General features: G+C 42.3%; 1 long non-coding RNA gene across 3 annotated transcripts in view, besides 2 other annotated features; it reads right to left on the reverse strand.

The window, feature by feature from the left end:
- Positions 1-21,754, reverse strand: part of LOC101928957 (uncharacterized) — a 57,307-nt gene that overhangs the window by 20,126 nt on the left and 15,427 nt on the right. The window contains exons 2-3 of one of the 3 annotated variants that reach the window (XR_002957619.2): positions 13,592-13,751; positions 13,209-13,460 (exon numbers count right to left, since the gene is read on the reverse strand). The exons of the other annotated variants lie outside the window; for them this stretch is intronic. This is a non-coding gene — a long non-coding RNA (uncharacterized LOC101928957). Of the gene's footprint in view, positions 1-13,208; positions 13,461-13,591; positions 13,752-21,754 lie in introns of those variants that run through there. 3 annotated transcript variants of the gene reach the window in all.
- Positions 16,384-16,925: an enhancer, noted in NCBI's record as "H3K27ac hESC enhancer chr14:92023369-92023910 (GRCh37/hg19 assembly coordinates)". NCBI's record gives its function as "activates a minimal SCP1, AML or CMV promoter by ChIP-STARR-seq in primed H9 embryonic stem cells {active_cell/tissue: H9 hESC(primed)}" and the evidence as "EXISTENCE:reporter gene assay evidence [ECO:0000049][PMID:30033119]".
- Positions 16,926-17,467: an enhancer, noted in NCBI's record as "H3K27ac-H3K4me1 hESC enhancer chr14:92023911-92024452 (GRCh37/hg19 assembly coordinates)". NCBI's record gives its function as "activates a minimal SCP1, AML or CMV promoter by ChIP-STARR-seq in primed H9 embryonic stem cells {active_cell/tissue: H9 hESC(primed)}" and the evidence as "EXISTENCE:reporter gene assay evidence [ECO:0000049][PMID:30033119]".

Below are 21,754 nucleotides of genomic sequence, written 5' to 3' on the forward strand. Positions count from 1 at the left end.
TACCTCAGGCTGGGTAATTTATAAAGAAAAGAGGTTTAATTGGCTCATGATTCTACAGGCTGTACAAGAAGCATGACACTGGCATCTGCTTGGCTTCTGGGGATGCCTCAGGAAACTTACAATCATGGCAGAAGGTGAAGAGGGAGCAGGAATGTCTTACATGGAAGAGCAGAAGAGAGAAGAAGTGAGGAGGTGCCACACGTTTTCAAACAGCCAGCTCTCAGGAGATTCACTCAGTATCATGAGAATAGCACCAAATGGATGGCGCTAAGCCATCAGGAGTAACCCACCTCCATGATCCAATCACCTCCCACCAGGCCCCACCTCCAGCAATGGGGATTACAACTGAACATGAGATTTGGGTGGGGACGCAGATCCAAACCATATCATTAGTGGAGTGAGATGTTGCTGGAAAAGTTGGCAGGGACCAAGTCCTGAAGGACTCTCTTTGTTTTGGATTTTATTCTGGAGAGTGTAGGGATTCATGAAAGGGTTTTAAGTAAGGGGATGTGATGACTGGGTTTATGTTTTGTAAAGATCACTCTGCAAGCATTGTGGAGGAAGGATGGGAGGAAGAAAATGTCAAAGTTGGGGAGTCCATTTACAAATTAACTGTCCCAGACCAGGCATGAAATGACAAATATTGAGTTAAATCAATTCCAGTGTATACAGAGAGAAAGGAATGGATTTCAAGCACCACTGCCCTTCTCATACTGAAAGGTATCAGTGGAGGCCTAATGAGGTGCAGGAACTCTCACCCCAACACAGTAGAGACATGGAGCACCCCAGCTTGGTGTCAAAGGAGGCTGAGTGGGTATCTGGACCTTTATCCACATTTGGCAGTAACAAGGCAGCAGTGCTCCCTTCTCCTGCTGGAGTAGTATCACACACACATAAGAAAACCAGCCAAAAAGAAGGTTAAGATATAGAGTCTCATAACACAATACGCAAATATCTCAGATTCCATTGAAAATGAGTGCCATGTCAAGAGCTAGTAAATCTCAAACTGAATGAAAAAAAAATACAATCAACAGATGCAAATACCAAGATGACAGAGATGTTAGAACTATTTGAAAAAGATAAAAATGCTTCAGTGAAAAATTATGAACATGCTTGAAGTAAGTGAAAAAATTGAAAGTCTCAGCAAAGAAATAGAAGAATGAAATAGAAATTTTTAGAAATTAAAAATACAATAAGTAAAATAAAATATCCAGCAGATGAGCTTAATTTGCTGAGGTGACAGAGGAATGAATCAGATAATTTGAAGATAGAACAATAGAAATTGAGCAATAGAGAAAAATAGACTTAAAAGGAATGAACAGAGCTTCAGGGACCTGTGGGTCTATAATGAAAGGTCTAACATTCATGTAATTGAAGATCCAAAGAAAAAGAGAAAGAAGGGACTTCCTTGTAAAAGTACTCAAATAATAATACCAGAAAAATTCCCAAATATGGTAAAATACATAAACCTACAGATTTAAGATGCTGAGTATATTCCAAACAGGATAAACCCAGAGAAATCTACAACATTAACATAGTCAATCTTCTGAAAACAAAAGACAAAGAAAAAATATTAAAAGCAGAGCAAGAGAAACAACACCTTAAGTATAAGGGAAAAAAGTATAAATGTCAGTTAATTTCTCCTCAGAAACCACAAAGGCCAGAAGGAAATGGCAAAACAGTTTTCATGTGCTAGAAGACTATCAACCCAGAATTTTATACCCAGAGAATATATCCTTCATGAATAAAGAAGCCACAGCATTCTCAGATGAAGAAAACTATGAGAATCTGTTGGCAGACCACCCTAAGAGAATGACTAAGTGAAGTCCTCTAAGCAGAAAGGAAACAATAAAAGAAGGAATCTTGGAATACCAGAAAAGGAAAACATGGAAGTCAAAATACAGGTGAATACAGAACACCTTCCAAAACTCCTACTGAGTTTTCTAGATTATATTTAGTAGTTGAAGCAAAAATTATAACACTGTCTGGTATTGTTCTAAATGTATAAGGAGAAAGTAGTTAACATAAATAAATCTGGGAGGATAAAGGGAGGTAAAGAAAGGTAAAGCTTCTATACTTGAACTGGTAAAATGACACTTGTAACTATGATAAAATTTTGTATATATGTGTGTTTGTGTATACACATATAATTTCATATTATATATAACTATATTCTATATATAAATTCATATTTTATAAAATTATACAATAAAATATGTTATATTAGAAATCATTTATTATATATCTAAATTATAACACATTATTTAAATAATAAAATATGTTATATTTTATATTTCTGTAAAATGTAAAATTATATAAATATAATTTATAATTATATAAAGTATATTTATATAATATACTATAGATTAAATATTTATAATTCAATATTTATAATTTAATTATAGACTAAATATTTTATAATATACTATAGATTAAATATTTATAATTCAATATTTATAATTTAACTATAGACTATATATTTTATAATATATTATAGATTAAATATTTTATGTTTCTAAAATAGTTTTTTTTTGAGACAAGGTCTCATTCTGTTGCCCAGGCTGGAGTGCAGTGGTGCGATCTTGGCTCACTGCAACCTCCACCTCCCAGACTCAAGCGATTTTCCTATCTTAGCCTCCCAAATAACTGATATAGTTTACCACAAGGTAAACTATAAGGTATTACCACAAGGATCCCTCCTCTTGCTCCTTTATGGCCACACCCATTTCCCTCCAGCTGCACACCTCCCACCTCCTTAACCTGTGGTAACCACTAATCTGTTCTCCATTTTTAAACCTTCTTTTTGGCTGCTTTGTGTGTGTATGTGTGTGTGTGTGACACTACCCCAGCAGTAGAAGGGGGCACTGCCTTGTGACTAACAGATGGGGTAAAGGTGAGCCTCCTCTGACACCAAGGTAGGGTGCTCTGTATCTCTACTGTGTGGGGGTGAGAGTTCCAGCAACCCACTAGGCCTCCACTGACACCACCATGCTCAGCTAAATTTTGAATTTTTTGTAGAAATGGGGTTTTGTCATGTTACCCAGGCTGGTCTCAAACTCCAGGGCTCAAGTGATCTACTCACCTTAGCATCCCATAGTGCTGGGACTATAGGCATGAGCCACAGTATCAATATCCTGACTGTGATATTGTACTATATATAGTTTTACAATACAATATTGTATTATTATATTATATTGCATTATATTATAAAATGGTATTGTAATAATATAATATAATATAATATAATATTTCATGCCCAGCCGAGAACCCAGAAATATTTTTTTAACTTCATTTACATATATGTACATTTTTTATAGAGACAAGGTCTCACTATGTTGCCCAGACTGGTCATGAACTCATGGGCTCAAGGTATCTTCTCGTCTCAGCCTGCCAAAGTGCTAGGATTACAAGTGTGAGCCACCGCGTCTTGCTGAGAACCCAAAAATAGAGCCACACAAATATCCCCAACATATATTTTACAAAAGTGCAAAAACAATTCAATGAAGGAAAGCTAGCCTTTTGAACAAATGGTCCTGGAATATTTGGACACCCATAGGCACAAACACTAACAATAATGAACTTGGACCTAAATCTCACACCTTATAAAGAATTAACCCGGCCTGGTGCAGTGGCTCACGCCTGTAATCCCAACACTTTGGGAGGCCGAGGCGGGTGGATCACTTGAGGTCAGGAGTTCAAGACCAGCCTGACCAATATGATGTAACTCCGTCTCTACTAAAAATACAAACATTAGCCAGGCGTGGTGGCATGTGCCTGTAATCCCAGCTACTCGGGAGGCTGAGACAGGAGAATCACTTGAACCCGGGAGGTGGAGGTTGCAGTGTGCCAAGATCGCACCATTGCTCTCCAGCCTGGGCAACAAGAGTGAAACTCCATCTCAAAAAAAAAGAAAGAAAGAAAGAAAAAAAAAGAAAGAAGGAAGGAAGGAGGGGAAGGAAGGGAAAAAAAAGAAAGAAAAAATAAAGATTAATCCAAATGGATAATGGATGTAAATGTAACACGTAAAACTATAAAATTTTAGCAAGAATTCTAGCAGAAATTCATTCTTCGGGACCTAGGAGTAGGAAAAGAATCATTGGACTTGACATTAAATGCACAATTCATAAAAGGAAAACCTGGCAAATTGGACTTTATCAAAATTAAAAACTTCCTCTGTGATAGATGCTGTTAATAGGATGAAAAGATGAGCTACATACCAGGTGAATATATTTGCAAACCATATACCTGATAAAGAATTTCTTTCTTTCTTTCTTTTGATGCAGAGTCTCGCTCTGTTGCCCAGGTTGGAGTGCGGTGGCACCATCCAGGCTCCCTGCACCCTCTGCCTCCTGGGTTCAAGCAATTCTCCAGCCTCCGCCTCCCAAGTAGCTGGGATTACCGGCACACACCACCACACCCATCTAATTTTTGTAGTTTTAGTAGAGACGGGGTTCACTGTGTTGGCCAGGCTGGTCTCGAACTCCTGGCCTCAAGCAATCCACCTCCCTTGGCCTCCCAAAGTGCTGGGATTACAGGTATAAGCCACTGTACCTGGCCAGTATTTCTTTTCCATTCCTTGCCTTTTTCTTGCTTCCTTCCTTCCTTTCTCCCTCCCTTCCTCCTTCCCTCCCTTCTTTCTCTCTCTTTTCCATCCCTTGCTCTCTCCTTTCTTTTCTCTTTTTTCTTTCTTTTCTTTCTTTCTTTCCTCTATTCCTTCCTTCCTCCCTCCCTCCCTTCTTCCCTCCCTTCTTTCTTTTTCTTTTCCATCCCTCACTCTCATTTTTCTTTTCTTTTTTCTTTTCTCCTTTCCTTTTCTTTCTCTCTTTCCTTCCTTCCTTCCTTCCCTCTTTCTTTCTTTCTTCCTTTCTTTCCTCTATTCCTTCCTTCCTTCCTTCCTTCCTTTCCTCCTCTCTCTTTCTTTCTTTCAACAGAGTTTTACTCTGTTACCCAGGCTGGAGTGCAGTGGTGCCATCACAGCTCACTGCAGCCTTGACCTCCTGGGCTCAGGTGATTCTCCCACCTCAGCTTCTGAGGTAGCTAGGACTACAGGCAAGCATCACCACACCCAGCTAATTAAAAATTTTTTTTTTCTTTTTTTTGGGTAGCAACAGGGTCTCCCTATGTTGCCCAGGCTGGTCTCTAACTCTTGGGCTCAAGTGATCCTCACACCTTGGTTCCCCAAAGTGCTGGAATTAGAGGCATGAGCCACTGCTCCCAGCCCCGGATTTTTTTCTTAAATATATGAAGCAGGCTCAAAAATCTATAGTAAGAAACCCACACACAATCCAATTAGAAAATGGCCAAAGACATGAACAGACATTTCACCAAAGAGGATATACAGATGGCAAATGCACACATGAAAAGATATTCAGCATCATTAGCCATTAAGGAAATGCAAATTCAGTTCACAATGACATATCACTACGCACTTAACAATGACTAAAATAAAAAACCTTGACAACACCACATACTGTGGAGGATGCAGAGAAACAGGTTTACTCATATATCACTGGGAGAAAACAGCTTGTCAGTTTCTTAAAAAAACTGAATCTGGATATGACCCAGCAATTTTACTCCTGGGCATTTATCCCAGATAAATAAAAAGTTACATTCACAAAAAAACCTGTACATAAATGTTTATAACAGTTTCTTAGTAATAGCCAAAACCTGCAAACAACCCTGATGTATTGTTATGGATGAATGGTTAAACAATGTATGTCCACACCATGGAATACGATCTGCTATGGCTTAAATGTTTGTGCCTCTCCAAAATTCATGTTGAAGCTTAATCCCCAATGCAATCGCTTTAAGAGGTGAAGCCTTTAGGAGGTGATTAGTCAAGAGGGCTTTGCCCTCATGAATAGGATTAGTGCCTTTATAAAAGGGATTGAGGGAGTCTGATCCTTTTCGGCTTTTGCCCTTCTGTCATGTGAGGACCCAAGCATTCAACCCTTCTGCCATGTGAAAATACAGCAGTGAGAAGGAGCCATGTTGGAAGCAGAGAGAAGCCCTTACCAGACCCAAATCTGCTAGTGCCTTAATTTTGGACTTCCCAGTCTCGAGAACTGTGAGCAATACATTTCTATTATTTATAAATTACCTAGGCTAAGGTATTTTGTTATAGCAGCAGGAATGGATGGAGACAGTATTTAACAATCAAAAGGAATAAACTGCTGATGAATACAGCAACCTGGATGGATATCCAGAAATTTATGCTGAGTGAGAAAAAGCCAATCCCAAAAGGTTGCATATTTTGTGATGCTATATAAAACGTTCTTGAAATAATAAAATTATAAAAAGGAGCCCGGCTTGGTGGCTCACACCTATAATCCCAGCACTTTGGGAGGGCGAGGCGGGCAGATTGCTTGAGCCTAGGAGTTCAAGACCAGCCTGGGCAACATGGCAAAACCCCATCTCCACAAAATATACTGGTGGCATGCCTGTAGTCCTAGTTACTTGGGGGGCTGAGGTGGGAGGATGGCGTGAGCCTGAGAGGTCAAGGCTGCAGTGAGCCGAGATTGCGCCACTGCAGTCCGGCCTGGATGATAAAGACCCTCTCTCAAAAAAAAAAAATTATAGAAATGGAGAACAGATTACTGGTTACCAGAGGTTAAGGAGGTGAGAGTTATGGAGTGGCAGGGAAGTGGGTATGGCCATAAAGCAGCAAGAGGAGGGTAGTGGAAATGCTCTGTATCTTGACTGTATCAGTGTCAATATCCTGACTGTGATATAGAACTATATATAGTTTTACAATATAATACTGTATTATGATATAATACAGTATTATATTGTGTCATTATATTATATTGTATTATATTATAAAATTGTAATATAATGTTCCTTCCTTGGAGGAAACTGGGTAAAAAGTACATGGGATCTCTTTATATTATTTCTTACAACTGCATGTACATCTATAATTATCTCAAAATAAAATTTGGGCCAGGTGTGGTGGCTCATGTCTGTGGGAGGATCAGTTGAAGCCAGGAGTTCGAGACCAGCCTGGGCAATGTAGCAAGACCCCATCTCTAGAAAAATAAATGAATAAACAAAACAATTTTAATGAAAATATTATAAAGCAAACAACCGTGTAAACACCTGCCAATTAAGAAAAAAGAACTTGCCCAGGGCTGGTCGTGGTGGCTCATTCCTGTAATCCCAGCACTTTGGGAGGCTGAGGCAGGAGAATTGCTTAAGCCTGGGAGTTTGAGACCAGCTTGGGCAACAGAGTAAGACCCTGTCTCTACATAAAATAAAATAAACGTAAAACAAAATAAAGTAAAATAGATGAATAAAGTAAAATAAAAATAAAATAAAATAAAATAATAGCTAGGCTAGGTTTATGCCTGTGGTCCCAGCTTCTCAGGAGGCTGAGGTGGGAGGACAGCTTGAGCCCAGGAAGTCAAGGCTGCAGTGAGCTATGATCACACCACTGCACCCCAGCTTGGGTGACAAAGCAAGACCCTGCCTCAAAAACAAAAACAAAACAAAACTTGGCCAGCACTTCAGAAAAACAAAAAACAAAAAAACTTGGCCAGCACTTCAGAAGCTGCTACATGTCTCTTCCTATTCAAAATTACTTCCCCTAAATGTAACCACTATGTTGACTTTTTTTGTTTGTTTGTTTGAAACAGGGTTTTACTCTGTCACCCAGGCTGGAGCCCAGTGGTGCAGTGGCGATTATGGCTTACTGCAGCCTCAACATTCTGGGCTCAAGCAATCCTCCCACCTCAGCCTCCTGAGTAGCTGGGACTACAGGCATGCACCACACGCCTGGCTAATTTTATTGTTTTTTAGAGATGCGGTCTCACCCTGTTACCCAGGCTGGTCTGGAACCCCTGGACTCCAGCAATCCACCTGCCTCAGACTCCCAAAGTGCTGGGATTATAGGCATGAACCGCTGTGCCTGGCCCTTTTCTGAATTTTCACGGCAATAACTTTCTTGCTTTTGTTTATAGTCTTACCACTATCTCAAAAAAAAAAAAAAAAAAAGAACCTCTGTTCTATACACTCTTTTTTTTGTTTGTTTTTGAGATGGAGTCTCGCTCTGCCACCCAGGCTGGAGTGCAGTGGTGTGATCTCAGCTTACTGCAAGCTCCGCCTCCTGGGTTCATGCCATTCTCCTGCCTCAGCCTCCCGAGTAACTGGGACTACAGGCACATGCCATAGTCCCCGGCTAATTTTTTGTATTTTTAGTAGAGACGGGGTTTCACCGTGTCAGCCAGGATGGTCTCGATCTCCTGACCTTGTGATCCGCCCGCCTTGGCCTCCCAAAGTGCTGGGATTACAGGCGTGAGCCACCGTGCCTGGCCCGTTCTATACACTTTGAAGATGAAACGTTTTCCTCTAAAACTGCTTCAGTTACATCCCCAACCAGGTTTGATATGAAGTATTTTCCTTATCATTCTGTTAACAATGTTCTATAAGATCACTATGATTTCATTTTTGACTCCCACACGTAGGGAGTAGCTTTTATGTTGTTGTTTGGTTATTGATTTCTAGTTTAACTGCAGTGCGGTGAGGGAACAAATCTAAATCATTACCATCCTTTGAAATTTGCTGAGACTACTTCACAGGCAGTATATGGTCAATTTTTAAGGAGTTGTCAGAGTGAAAACTCAGTGGCAGTGTTTGTCATATTAAAAATATAGAAGCTACAGTTGTTCAGATGACTAAATTGGAACTTTTCTCCTGCATGTGTCTATATGTCAAATTGTCAGCATGACAAAAGTGACTGATGTGGCCGGGTGCCGGTGGCTCACGCCTGTAATCCCAGCACTTTGGGAGGCCGAGGTGGGTGGATCACTTGAGGTCAGGAGATCAAGACCAGCCTGTCAACATGGCGAAACCCCGTTTCGCTAAAAATACAAAAATTAGCCAGTCATGGTAGTGCAAGCCTGTAATCCCGGTTACTTGGGATGCTGAGGCAGCAGAATCGCTTGAACCCAAGAGGCGGAGGTTACAGTGAGCTGAGATCGTGCCACTGTACTCCAGCCTGGGCAACAGAGCAAGACTCCATCTCAAAAAAAAAAAAAAAAAAAAGACCGATGTTATTTTTGTATTTTTAAAAACCAATTTGTTGTATATAAAATTTCACAGATTGTGCAGATCACTTTTAAACTCACATAGGTCGGTGTCTTTACAGTGGTAAACTATGAAATGTCAGCGTTCAGCCAGATGGTATGATGGAGCAGCAGAAGTCAGAATTCAGTGAGGGGACACTGAAGGAACAGATAATGCTCCTGCTTTGCCTTGAAGTGTCATCAATTTGTAATTTCAGGGTTAACTGCAGAAGTGTCTGTAAGTACATTTTATATTAAGGACAGACCAAAAACCAACACATCAAAGCTTCAAAAACTTTGGGAAAGGGTGAGATTAAGAACAAGCACATTTGGCTTATAGTAAATGAACTGATTTTTATTAACTGCTTTTGTCCATATAAAATGCTGATATTTACTGGAAACCTAGCCACCTTCATAATTATGATAAAAGTGCCAGGTTATAATCCAGAAGATAATATGCAGGCAATAGCAGATATCTCTGACAAAGTATGTCTCAAAACTGATTATATATATATATATACACACACACACACGTATATATTTTTATTTATTTTTTGAGACAGGGTCTTGCTGTGTTGCCCAGGCTGGAGGGCAGTGCCATAATCTCAGCTCACTGCAACCTCCACCTCCTGAGTTTAAGTGATTCTCGTGCCTCAGCCTCCTGAGTAGCTGGGATTACAGGCATGCGCCACCACGCCCAGCTAACTTGTGTTTTTAGTAGAGATGGGGCTTCACCATGTTGTCCAGGCTGGTCTGGAACTCCCGACCTCAAGTGATCCACCTACCTCGGCCTCCCAAAGTGCTGAGATTACAGGCATGCGCCACCGTGCCTGGGTGCATTTATTTTTTAAACATTAGAGGCAGGGTCTTGCTATGTTGCCCAGGCTGATTTTGAACTCCTGGGCTCAAGCGATCCTCCTTTCTCAGCCTTCCAGGTAGCTGGGACTACAGTACAAATTTAATTAATTAATTAATTATTTGTATAGAGTCGAGGTCTCTCTATGTTGCCCAGGCTGGTCTTGAACTCCTGGGCTCAAGGGACCCTCCTACCTTGGTCTCCAAAAGTGCTGGGATTGCAAGTGTGAGCCACTGTGCCCGGCCTACAGTACAAATTTTAAATGGTTGTATCTTCCTGGTTAATTGACCTTTTATTATTATAAAGTGACTATCATTATCTCTGGTATTGGTTTTTGCCCTAAAGTCAATTTGATCTGATATCATTATGGTCAAACCAACTATCCTATTGCTAATATTTGCTTAGTACTGTATATCTACTTAGAACTCTACAGGACATTCTTTTTCTTGTTTAATACATTTGGAGTTACCCACTTATTGTTACCTATTTTACCTTTATTTTTTTTCTCCCAACTCGGACCCTTCATATGGGATCATTTTCCTTTTGCCAGAAATGCTTCTTTTATAATTTCCTATAGTGGATTTTGATCCTGGCAAACTCTCTTAGCTTTTATTTGTCTAAAAATATTTCCATTTTTCTCTCATTCTTAATAGACATTTTTTTAATTGACATAGAATTCAATATATTTGTTTTTCTTTAGCTTCACTATTTCACTTTTTATTTATATTTCTTAGGTTTTCTTCTTTTTCTTTTCTTTCTTTCTTTTTTTTTTGTTTGTTTAGAGACAAGGTCTCACTCTGTTGCTTAGGCTGGAGTGCAGTGGCTCAATCATAGCTCATCGCAGTCTTGAATTTCTGGGCTCAGGCAATTCTCCTGCCTTAGTCTCCTGGGTAGCTAGGACGGCAGGTGTGTGTCATCATGCCTGGCTAATATTTAAAAATATTTTATGTAGAGATGGGGTCTCACTATGTTGCCCAGGCTGGTCTTGAACTTTTGTCCTCAACAGATCATCTTGCCTCAGCCTCCCAAAGTGTGATTACAGGCATGAGCCATCACACCCAGCCTACATAACTAATACACATTATTTACTTGAATCTTATTTCTTCCTAGTAGGGTTCAGCTTCACTCACCTTGGTTACATGGATGTCATCACCTGAATGCTTTGTATCAACAATTGTTTTAAACATGAAAAGCAGTTGTAGTAAAATTAAAACCTTGCATTTCATTCCCAGATGTTCTATTAACTTAAGTTGTAGGGATAGCGGGGGTGCACCAAGATTCTAATGGGTTTAATATAATCAAAACACTTGTTCACTGTATGTTTATTGAGTTTCTCATTTAAATCAATCAATGGATTAATGCTTACATAATATTGCCATAAAATTTAGACTGCTAAATGACATGTTGATATTGATCCATTGATTGATTTAAATGAGAAACTCAATAAACGTACAGTGAACAAGTATTTTCCGTTGTCATCCTGTCCAGGCACAGTGGCTCACCCCTGTAATCTCAGCACTTTGGGAGGCCACAGCAGGAGGATCTCTTGAGCTCAAGAGTTCAAGACCAGCCTGGGCAACATAGGGAGACTTTGTCTCTACAAAAAAATTTTTAAAAAGTTGTCATCCTTTTAGTAGCCTGTCTATGAATGATAAGAATTTATATTCAGTAACTGTTTCAATATGTGACACAGCAGGAAGGCTGCCATCTGCAAGCCAGGAAGAGAGAACTCACCAGAAACCAAATCAGCTGGCATCTTGATTTGGACTTCCCTGCCTCCAGAACTGTTAGCAATAAATGTTGATTGTTTAAGCTACCCAGTGTATGGTATTTAGTTATGGCAGCCCAAGGAGACCAATATGTGTGAAATTTTTCATATTTAACTGAAGATTTAACTGTTAACTTGAGAATATTTTACTTAAGGAAAAGAAAAAAGAAAAACAAAGAACAAAAAACAAACAACTCCCCAGAGAGACTCTATGGAAATGTTGCAACTTCTAAAAAGGAGTTTAATTCACATATACAGTATATGGGATTCTTTATAAGATTATCATATTTCAATTTATCTGTGGATATGATGGCTCATAGGTTAGTCTGTGTTTAAAGGGTTTTCCATAATAAAACATATTTTCATTTTTATACCAACAAGAATAATTTCACATCCTGTAGGTCTCCAGTTAAAAAATGATTGTTATTTTCTTATACTACAATTTTTATCATTGAGTCTAACAATATGTAGGAAGCACTCTAAGAATAAAAATAAACACAATCATAGATGGTTAGAGTGGAAGCAAACCCCAGAAGTCATGAAACCCAAGCCTCTAACTTTACTGATGAGGAAAATGAAGTTCAGAGAGGCTTAGGGCTTGCTTATGGTTCTCATAGCTGGCAAGAAAAAAGATGAAGCTTAAAAGTGGGGCTCTGGGCCCCTAGTTCAATGTCCTTTCTACCACACTAAGCTGCCTCTTCGACAAGGTTTACAGCTTTTCCTCTTCAAATGACCAAGACAATACTTTAAAAGAAGCCATTTCATTAAGAGTACATTATAGTATATACATATTATAATACCTTTAGGAGGGTTAAATATATTTTGTTAAGTTTTTAAAAGCCATACTTTGTTACTGATTGTTAATATGGTAAATTAATAGAGCAGATGTCAAATCTTTATTTTAAAAGTTTAAAAAAACACTTTTGTATCATCCACATGCAGTTTAGCAACAGATATACATTTTTAAGCAAATTTTAGATACAATATGACAATTTTACCATCGACCAAATGTTTGACATTGGGATTCTACTTGTACTAGATAAGTTAGAAACTTCAGAAATATCCCAGGATATACAATATGTAATTGAAAATAAACTTACAGGACTCCAAGCATGGAATAGTACTTGGGTAGCCTTTACTTTATCTTCTGTCTTTATAACAGAGATTGACAACTAATGGAATACATGCTTAAAAGACTCACAAGCCAGGTGCGGTGGCTCACGTCTGTAATCCCAGCACTTTGGGAGGCTGAGGCGGGCAGATCATGAGGTCAGGAGATCGAGACCATCCTGGCTAACACGGTGAAACCCCATCTTTACTAAAAATACAAAAAAAATAGCCAGGCGTGGTGGCGTGCGCCTGTTGCCCCAGCTACTCGGGAGGCTGAGGCAGGAGAATGGAGTGAACCCGGGAGGCGGAGCTTGCAGTGAGCCCAGATCGTGCCACTGCACTCCAGCCTGGGCGACAGAGCCAGACTCCGTCTCAAAAAAAACAAACAACAACAACAACAACAAAAGACTCACAAGCTAACAATCTACATGGCATGGCCAGTGCTGTTGCAGGCCAAATTGTCAAGTGTCCAAGTTATTCTTCATCCCTTTCAAAATTTCTCCATCTTCTTTCTCAGTCTCTTTCTTAAATCTTGTCATATATATCCTTCGGTCACATCCAATTACCAAACAAAGAGAGATTACATGTGCACTATGTCTCCCACATAAAAATAAGTAAGACTGCATGAAAATTGGGCATGTTATCTCTGAAATGTCTGCAACAATTTCTGTAGAGAGAATTGGGCAAACCATTCAGAATACATTGAGGACCCTTCTGTATTATAGATTGCCAGCTCAATGGAAATATCTCTGCCTATCCTCCCAATTTTTTAAGTGGGCAGTTAGTCAAAATGCATACCTGCTTTTGTCTCTCACTCCATCCAGAGCTCAGGGTTAGGTCTTCACTGCCCTGTGTCCTCTACTCCAGGAGGTCTAGGTGATTCTGCCACAGCCTCAGCCTCCACCGCTCTGCGAACTGCTGGTTTTGGAAGATTCATAGCTAAGACTCCAGGGCACCCCTGAAGCCAAGAAATGGTGTCACTATCTCCAAGCCAGACCTGATCACCTGTCTGTAGCAAGAGAAAGAGCCCTGCAATGTGAAGAGACATGAGACAGTAGCCAAATACCCAGCCAAGGACCAAGATGGCTGACTCGAAGCAGCTGCGGTTCGAGGCTCCCACTGAGATGAACGAAAACGGTGAATGAATCCTACACTGGCAACTAAGGTATCCAGAATCTCTCATTGGGAATGACTAGGTGGTTGGCATGATCCACAGAAAGCGAGGAAAGGTAGGGTTGAGTGACAGCCCACCCGGGAGCCACATGGAGCAAGAGCAGCTCCCACCCCCAGCCAGGGGAGGTGGTGAGTGATTGTGCTACCTTGCCTGGGAAACCATGCTTTTCCCACAGATCTGTGCAACCCACAGATCAGGAGATCCCCTTGTGAGCCCACACCACCAGAGCCTTGGGTTGCAAGTACAGAGCTGCGTAGGTTCTTGTCAGCCGCTAAGATTACCAAGTTCCCAGGGGAAGGGGCAGCTGGCATTACTGCAGCTCCAGTCTGCTGTTTTCCCCTGCTGGTGCTGGGGAGACTGGGCGGTTTGGACCCAGGGGCAATTCCCCACAGCGCAGCACAGTGGCTGTGGAAGATCGTGGCCAGACTGCCTCTTTAGGCCAGACCTGGACCCATATCTTCTCACTGGGCAGGGCCTCCCTGTGGGAGCTTCAGCAATTCCAGCCAGGGTTTTATGGACAGAACTTTGATCTCCCTGGGATGGAACCCCTGGGGGGAGGGGCAGCCACAGTCTCTGCAGATCAGCAGACTTAGTCTTTCCCCCTGCTGGCTCTGTGGAATCTGGGCAGTCTGGGAGTGGGATAACCCCCAGCACTGTGCACCCTCTCTGCTAAGTGGCAGCTAGAGTGCTTGGTTAAGCAAGTCCCTGATCTCTTGCTTTCTGACTGGGTGAGACCTGCCCCCCATCCCAGCAGGGGTCATCAGACATTATACAGGAGCGTTTCTGCTAGCATCAGGTGAGTGCCCCTCTGGGACAGAGATCCCAGAGGAAGGAACAGGCATCCATCTTTGCTGTTCTGCAGCCTCCACTGGTGACACATCCAGGGGTGGGAAGAACCCAGAGGAATAAGGTCTAGAGTGGACCCCCAGCAAACTGCAGCAGCCCTGTGGAAGAGGGACCTGACTGTTAAAAGAAAAACGAACAAAGCAACAACAACAACAGCATCAACAAAAATGTCCCCACAAAAACTCCATCCAAAGGTCAGCAGCGTCAAAGACCAAAGCCAGATAAAATCAGGAAGATGAGAAAGAATCAATACAAAAATGCTGAAAACTCAAAAAGCCAGAAAGCCTCTTCTCCTCCAAATGATTGCAACACCTCTCCAGCAATGGCACAGAACTGGCCTGAGGCTGAGATGGATGAACTGACAGAAGTAGCCTTCAGAAGGTAGGTAATAACAAACTTTGCTGAGCTAAAGAAGCATGTTCTAACCCAATGCAAAGAAGCTAAGAACTATGAGAAAACATTACAGTAGCTGTTAACCAGAAGAACCAGTTTAGAGAGGAACATAAATGACCAGATGGAGCTGAAAAACACAATACAAGAACTTCACAATGCAACCGCAAGTATCAATAGCCAAACAGACCAAGCAGAAGAAAGAATTTCAGAGCTTGAAGACTGTCTTGCTGAAATAAGACAAGCAGACAAGATTAGAGGGGGAAAAAAATGAAAAGGAATGACCAAAACCTCTGAGAACTATGAGATTATGTAGAAAGACTGAACCTACGACTGATTGGGGCACCTGAAAGAGATGGGGAGAACAGAACCAAGTTGGAAAACATACTTCAGGATATTATCCAGGAGCACTTCCCCAACCTAACAAGGCAGGCCAACATTGAAATTCAGGAAATCCAGAGAACCCCAGTAAGATACTCCATGAGAAGATCAACCCAAGACACATAATTATCAGATTCTCCAAGGTCAAAATGAAAGAAGAAAGGTCAGGTCTCCTACAAAGGGAACCCCATGAGAATAACAGTGGACTTCTCAGCAGAAACCCTATAAGCCAGAAGAAATTGGGGGCCAATATTCAACACTCTTTTTTTTTTTTTTCAACATTTTATTTATTTTTATTTTTTTGATTTTTTAAATTTTTTTTTTTTTTTTGATCATTCTTGGGTGTTTCTCGCAGAGGGGGATTTGGCAGGGTCATAGGACAATAGTGGAGGGAAGGTCAGCAGATAAACAAGTGAACAAAGGTCTCTGGTTTTCCTAGGCAGAGGACCCTGCGGCCTTCCACAGCGTTTGTGTCCCTGGGTACTTGAGATTAGGGAGTGGTGATGACTCTTAACAAGCATGCTGCCTTCAAGCATCTGTTTAACAAAGCACATCTTGCACCGCCCTTAATCCATTCAACTCTGAGTGGACACAGCACATGTTTTAGAGAGCACAGGGTTGGGGGTAAGGTCACCAATTAGCAGGATCCCAAGGCAGAAGGATTTTTCTTAGTACAGAACAAAATGAAAAGTCTCCCATGTCTACTTCTTTCTACACAGACACGGCAACCATCCGATTTCTCAATCTTTTCCCCACCTTTCCCGCCTTTCTATTCCACAAAACCGCCATTGTCATCCCGGCCCTTTCTCAATGAGCTGTTGGGTACACCTCCCAGACAGGGTGGTGGCCGGGCAGAGGGGCTCCTCACATCCCAGTAGGGGCGGCCGGGCAGAGGCGCCCCTCACCTCCCGGACAGGGCAGCTGGCCGGGCGGGGGGCTGACCCCCCCACCTCCCTCCAGGACGGGGCAGCTGGCCAGGAAGAGGGGCTCCTCACTTCCCAGTAGGGGCGGCTGGGCAGAGGCACCCCTCACCTCCCGGACGGGGCGGCTGGCCGGGTGGGGGGCTGACCCCCCCACCTCCCTCCCGGACGGGGCGGCTGGCCGGGCGGGGGGGCTGAGCCCCCCACCTCCCTCCCGGACGGGGCGACTGGCCGGGCAGAGGGGCTCCTCACTTCCCAGTAGGGGCGGCTGGGCAGAGGCACCCCTCACCTCCCGGACGGGGCGGCTGGCCGGGTGGGGGGCTACCCCCCCACCTCCCTCCCGGACGGGGCGGCTGGCCGGGCGGGGGGCTGACCCCCCCACCTCCCTCCCGGACGGGGCGGCTGGCCTGGCGGGGGCTGACCCCCACCTCCCTCCCGGATGGGGTGGCTGCCGGGCGGAGACGCTCCTCACTTCCCAGACGGGGTGGCTGCCAGGCGGAGGGGCTCCTCACTTCTCAGACGGGGCGGTTGCCAGGCGGAGGGTCTCCTCACTTCTCAGATGGGGCGGCCGGGCAGAGACACTCCTTACCTCCCAGACGGGGTCACGGCCGGGCAGAGACGCTCGTCACTTCCTAGATGGGATGGCGGCCGGGAAGAGGCGCTCCTCACTTCCTAGATGGGATGGCGGCTGGGCAGAGACGCTCCTCACTTTCCAGACTGGGCAGCCAGGCAGAGGGGCTCCTCACGTCCCAGACGATGGGCGGCCAGGCAGAGACGCTCCTCACTTCCCAGACGGGGTGGCGGCCGGGCAGAGGCTGCAATCTCGGCACTTTGGGAGGCCAAGGCAGGTGGCTGGGAGGTGGAGGTTGTAGCGAGCCACGATCACGCCACTGCACTCCAGCCTGGGCACCATTGAGCACTGAGTGAACCAGACTCCGTCTGCAAACCCGGCACCTCGGGAGGCCAAGGCTGGCGGATCACTCACTGTTAGGAGCTGGAGACCAGCCCGGCCAACACAGCGAAACCCCGTCTCCACCAAAAAAGTACGAAAACCAGTCAGGCGTGGCGGCGCGCGCCTGTAATCGCAGGCACTCGGCAGGCTGAGGCAGGAGAATCAGGCAGGGAGGTTGCAGTGAGCCGCGATGGCAGCAGTACAGTCCAGCTTCGGCTCGGCATCAGAGGGAGACGGTGGAAAGAGAGGGAGAGGGAGACCGTGGGGAGAGGGGGACTGTGGGGAGAGGGGGACCGTGGGGAGAGGGAGAGGGAGAGGGAGAGGGAGAGGGAGACTCTTAAATAAAAAAATTTCCAATCCAGAATCTCATATCTGGCGAAACTAAACTTCATTAGTGAAGGAGAAATAAAATCCTTTTCAGACAAGCAAATGCTGAGGAAATTTGTCACTGCCAAGACTGCCTTGCAAGAGCTCCTGAAGGAAGCACTAAATATGGAAAGGGAAAAAATGTTACCAGCCACTACAAAAACACACTGAAGTACACAGACCAGTGACACTATGAAGCAACTACCTCAACAAGTCTGGAACATAATCAGCTAGCATCATGATGACAGGATCAAATTCACACATAACAATGTTAACCTTAAGTGGAAATTGGCTAAATGCCCCAATTAAAAGACACAGAATGGCAAGCTGGATAAAGAGTCAAGCCACATCAGTGTGCTATATTCAAGAGACCCATCTTATGTGCAAAGACACACATAGGTTCAAAATAAAGTGATGGCGGAAAATCTACCAAGCAAATGGACAGCAGAAAAAAGCAGGGGTTACAATCCTAGTTTCTGACAAAACCAACTTTAAACCAACACAGATCGAAAAAGACAAAGAAGGGCATTACATAATGGTAAAGGGTTCAATTCAACAAGAAGACCTAACTATTCTAAATATATATGCACCCAGTACAAGAGCACCCAGATTCATAAAACAAGTTCTTAGAGACCTACAAAGAGACTTAGACTCCCAAACAATAATAGTGGGAGGCTTTAACACCCAACTGTCAATATTAGACAGATCATCAAGACAGAAAATTAACAAGGATATTCAGGACTTGAACTCAGCTCTGGCTTAAGTGGACCTGATAGATATCTACAAAACTCTCCACCCCCAAACAATCGAATATAAATTCTTCTTGATGTCACATGGCAACTTACTCTAAAATCAATCACATAATTGGAAGTAAAACACTCCTCAGCAAATGCAAAAGAACTGAAATCATAACAAAAAGTCTCTTAGACCGCAGTGCCATCAAATTAGAACTCAAGACTAAGAAACTCACTCAGAACCACACAAATACACGGAAATTGAACAACCTGCTCCTGAACGACTCCCAGCTAAATTATGAAATTAAAGCAGAAATCAAGAAGTTATTTGAAACCAATGAGAATGAAGAGACAATGTACCAAAATTTCTGAGATGTAGCTAAAGCAGTGTTAGGAGGGAAATTTATAGCACTAAAGGCCCACATAAAAAAGCTGGGAAGATCTGAAATCAACATCTTAATGTCACAACTAAAAGAGCTAGAGAACCAAGATCAAACAAACCCCAAATCTAGCAGAAGACAAGCAATAACCAAGATCAGAGCAGAACTGAAGGAGATAGAGACAGAAAGAACCCTTCAAAAAAATCAACAACTCCAGGAGCTGGTTTTTTGAAAAAATTAATAAAATAGACTGCTAGCTAGACTTATAAAGAATAAAAGAGAGAAGAATCAAATAGACACAATAAAAAATGACAAAGGGGATATCACCACTGACCCCACAGAAATACAAACAATACTATACGAATACAAAAATACTATAAACACCTCTATGCAAATAAACTAGAAAATCTAGAAGAAAAGGATAGATTCCTGAACACATACACCCTCCCAAGACTAAGCCAGGAAGAAGTTGAATCCCTGAATAGACCAATAACAAGTTCTGAAATTGAGGCAGTAATAAATAGCCTACAGACCAAAAAAAGCCCAGGATCAGACAGATTTATAGCTGAATTCTACCAGAGACATAGAGAGGAGCTGGGACCCTTCTGAAAATATTTCAAACAATTGAAAAGAAGGAACTCCTCCCTAATTCATTTTATTAGGCCAGCATCATCCTGATACCAAAACCTGGCAGAGATACAATAAAAAAAAGAAAACTTCAGGCCAATATCCATGATGAACATCAATGCAAAAACTCTCAATAAAATACTGGCAAACAGAATCCAGCAGCACATCAAAAAGCTTATCCACCACGATCAAGTTGGCTTCATCCTTGGGATGCAAGGCTGGTTCAACATATGCAAATCAATAAACATAATTCATCACATAAATAGAACTAAAGACAAAAACCACATGACCATCTCATTAGATGAAAAAAGGCCTTTGATAAAATTCAACATCCCTTCATATTAAAAAGTCTCAATAAACTAGGTAGTGATGGAACACACATAAAAATAATGAGAGCCATTTATGAAAACCCATTGCCAATATCATACTGAATGGGCAAAAGCTGGTAGTATTCCCCTTGAAAACTGGCACAAGACAAGGATGCCCCATCTTACCACTCCTATTCAAGATAGTATTGGAAGCTCTGGCCAGGGCAATCAGGCAAGAGAAAGAAATAAAGGATATTAGAATAGGAAGAAAGGAAGTCAAACTGTCTCTGTTTGCAGATTTTATATCTAGAAAACCCCATTGTCTCAGCCCAAAAGCTTTTTTTTTTTTTTTTTGGAGACAGAGTCTTGCCCTGTCACCCAGGCTGGAGTACAATGGCATGATCTTGGCTCACTGCAACCTCTGCCTCCTGGGTTCAAGCGATTCTTGTTCCTCAGCCTCCCAAGTAGCTGGGACTACAGGTGTGTGCCACCACACCCAGCTAATTTTTGTATTTTTAGTAGAGACAGGGTTTTGCCATGTTGGCCAGGCTGGTCTTGAACCCCTAACCTCAGGTGATCCACCTGCCTCAGCCTCCCCAAATGCTGGGATTACTGGCATGGGCCACTACACCTGGCCACAAGCTTCTTAAGCAACTTCAGCAAAGTCTCAGAATAGAAAATCAATGTGCAAAATTCACAAGCATTCCTATACACCAACAACAGATAAGCAGAGAGCCAAATCATGAATGAACTCCCATTTACAACTGGTACAAAGAGAATAAAATACCTAGGAATACAGCTAACAAGAGAAGTGAAGGACCTCTTCAAGGAGAGTTACAAAACACTGCTCAAGGAAATCAGAGAGGACACAAACAAATGGAAAAACATTCCATGTTCAAGGATAGGAAGAATCAATATCATGAAAATGGCCTTACTGTCCAAAGTAATTTATAGATTCAATGCTAGTCCCATTAAGCTACCATTGACATTCTTCACAGAATTAGAAAAAACTACTTTAAAATTCATATGGAGCCAAATAAGAGCCCGTATAGCTAAGACAATCCTAAGCAAAAAGAGCAAAGCTGGAAGCATCACACTAACAGACATCTAACCACACTACAAGGCTACAGTAACCAAAACAGCAAGGTGCTGGTACAAAAACAGACACATAGACCAATGGAACAGAATAGAGAACTCAGAAATAAGACTGCACATCTGCAACCATCTGATCATTGACAAACCTGACCAAAAAAAGCAATGGGAAAAGGATTCTCTATTTAATAAATGGTGCTGGGAGAACTGGCTAGCCATATGCAGAAAATTGAAATCGGACCCCTTCCTTACACCTTATACAAAAATTAACTCAAGACGGATTGAAGACTTAAATGTAAAGCCCAAAACTGTAAAAACCCTAGAAGAAAATCTTGACAATACCATTCAGGACATAGGACTGGTCAAAGATTTCATGATGAAAATGTCAAAAGCAATTGCAACAAAAGCAGAAATTGACAAATAGGATGTAATTAAACTAAAGAGCTTCTGCACAGCAAAAGAAACTATCATCAGAGTGAACAGACAGCCCACAGAATGGGAGAAAGTTTTTGCAATCTATCCATCTGACGAAAGTCTAATATCCAGAATCTACAAGGAACTTAAACAAATATACAAGAACCAGAACAAACAACCCTATTAAAAAGTGGGCAAAGGATACGAACAGACACTTTTCAAAAGAAGACATTCACGTGGCCAACAAACATGAAAAAAGCTCAACATCACTGATCATTAGAGAAATGCAAATCAAAACTACAATGAATATCATCTCATGCCAGTCAGAATGGCGATTATTAAAAAGTCAAGAAACAACAGATGCTGGTGAGACTGTG

The sequence above is a fragment of the Homo sapiens genome, chromosome 14 (assembly GCF_000001405.40).
Source record: "Homo sapiens chromosome 14, GRCh38.p14 Primary Assembly".
NCBI classification, from domain to species: Eukaryota; Metazoa; Chordata; class Mammalia; order Primates; family Hominidae; genus Homo; species Homo sapiens.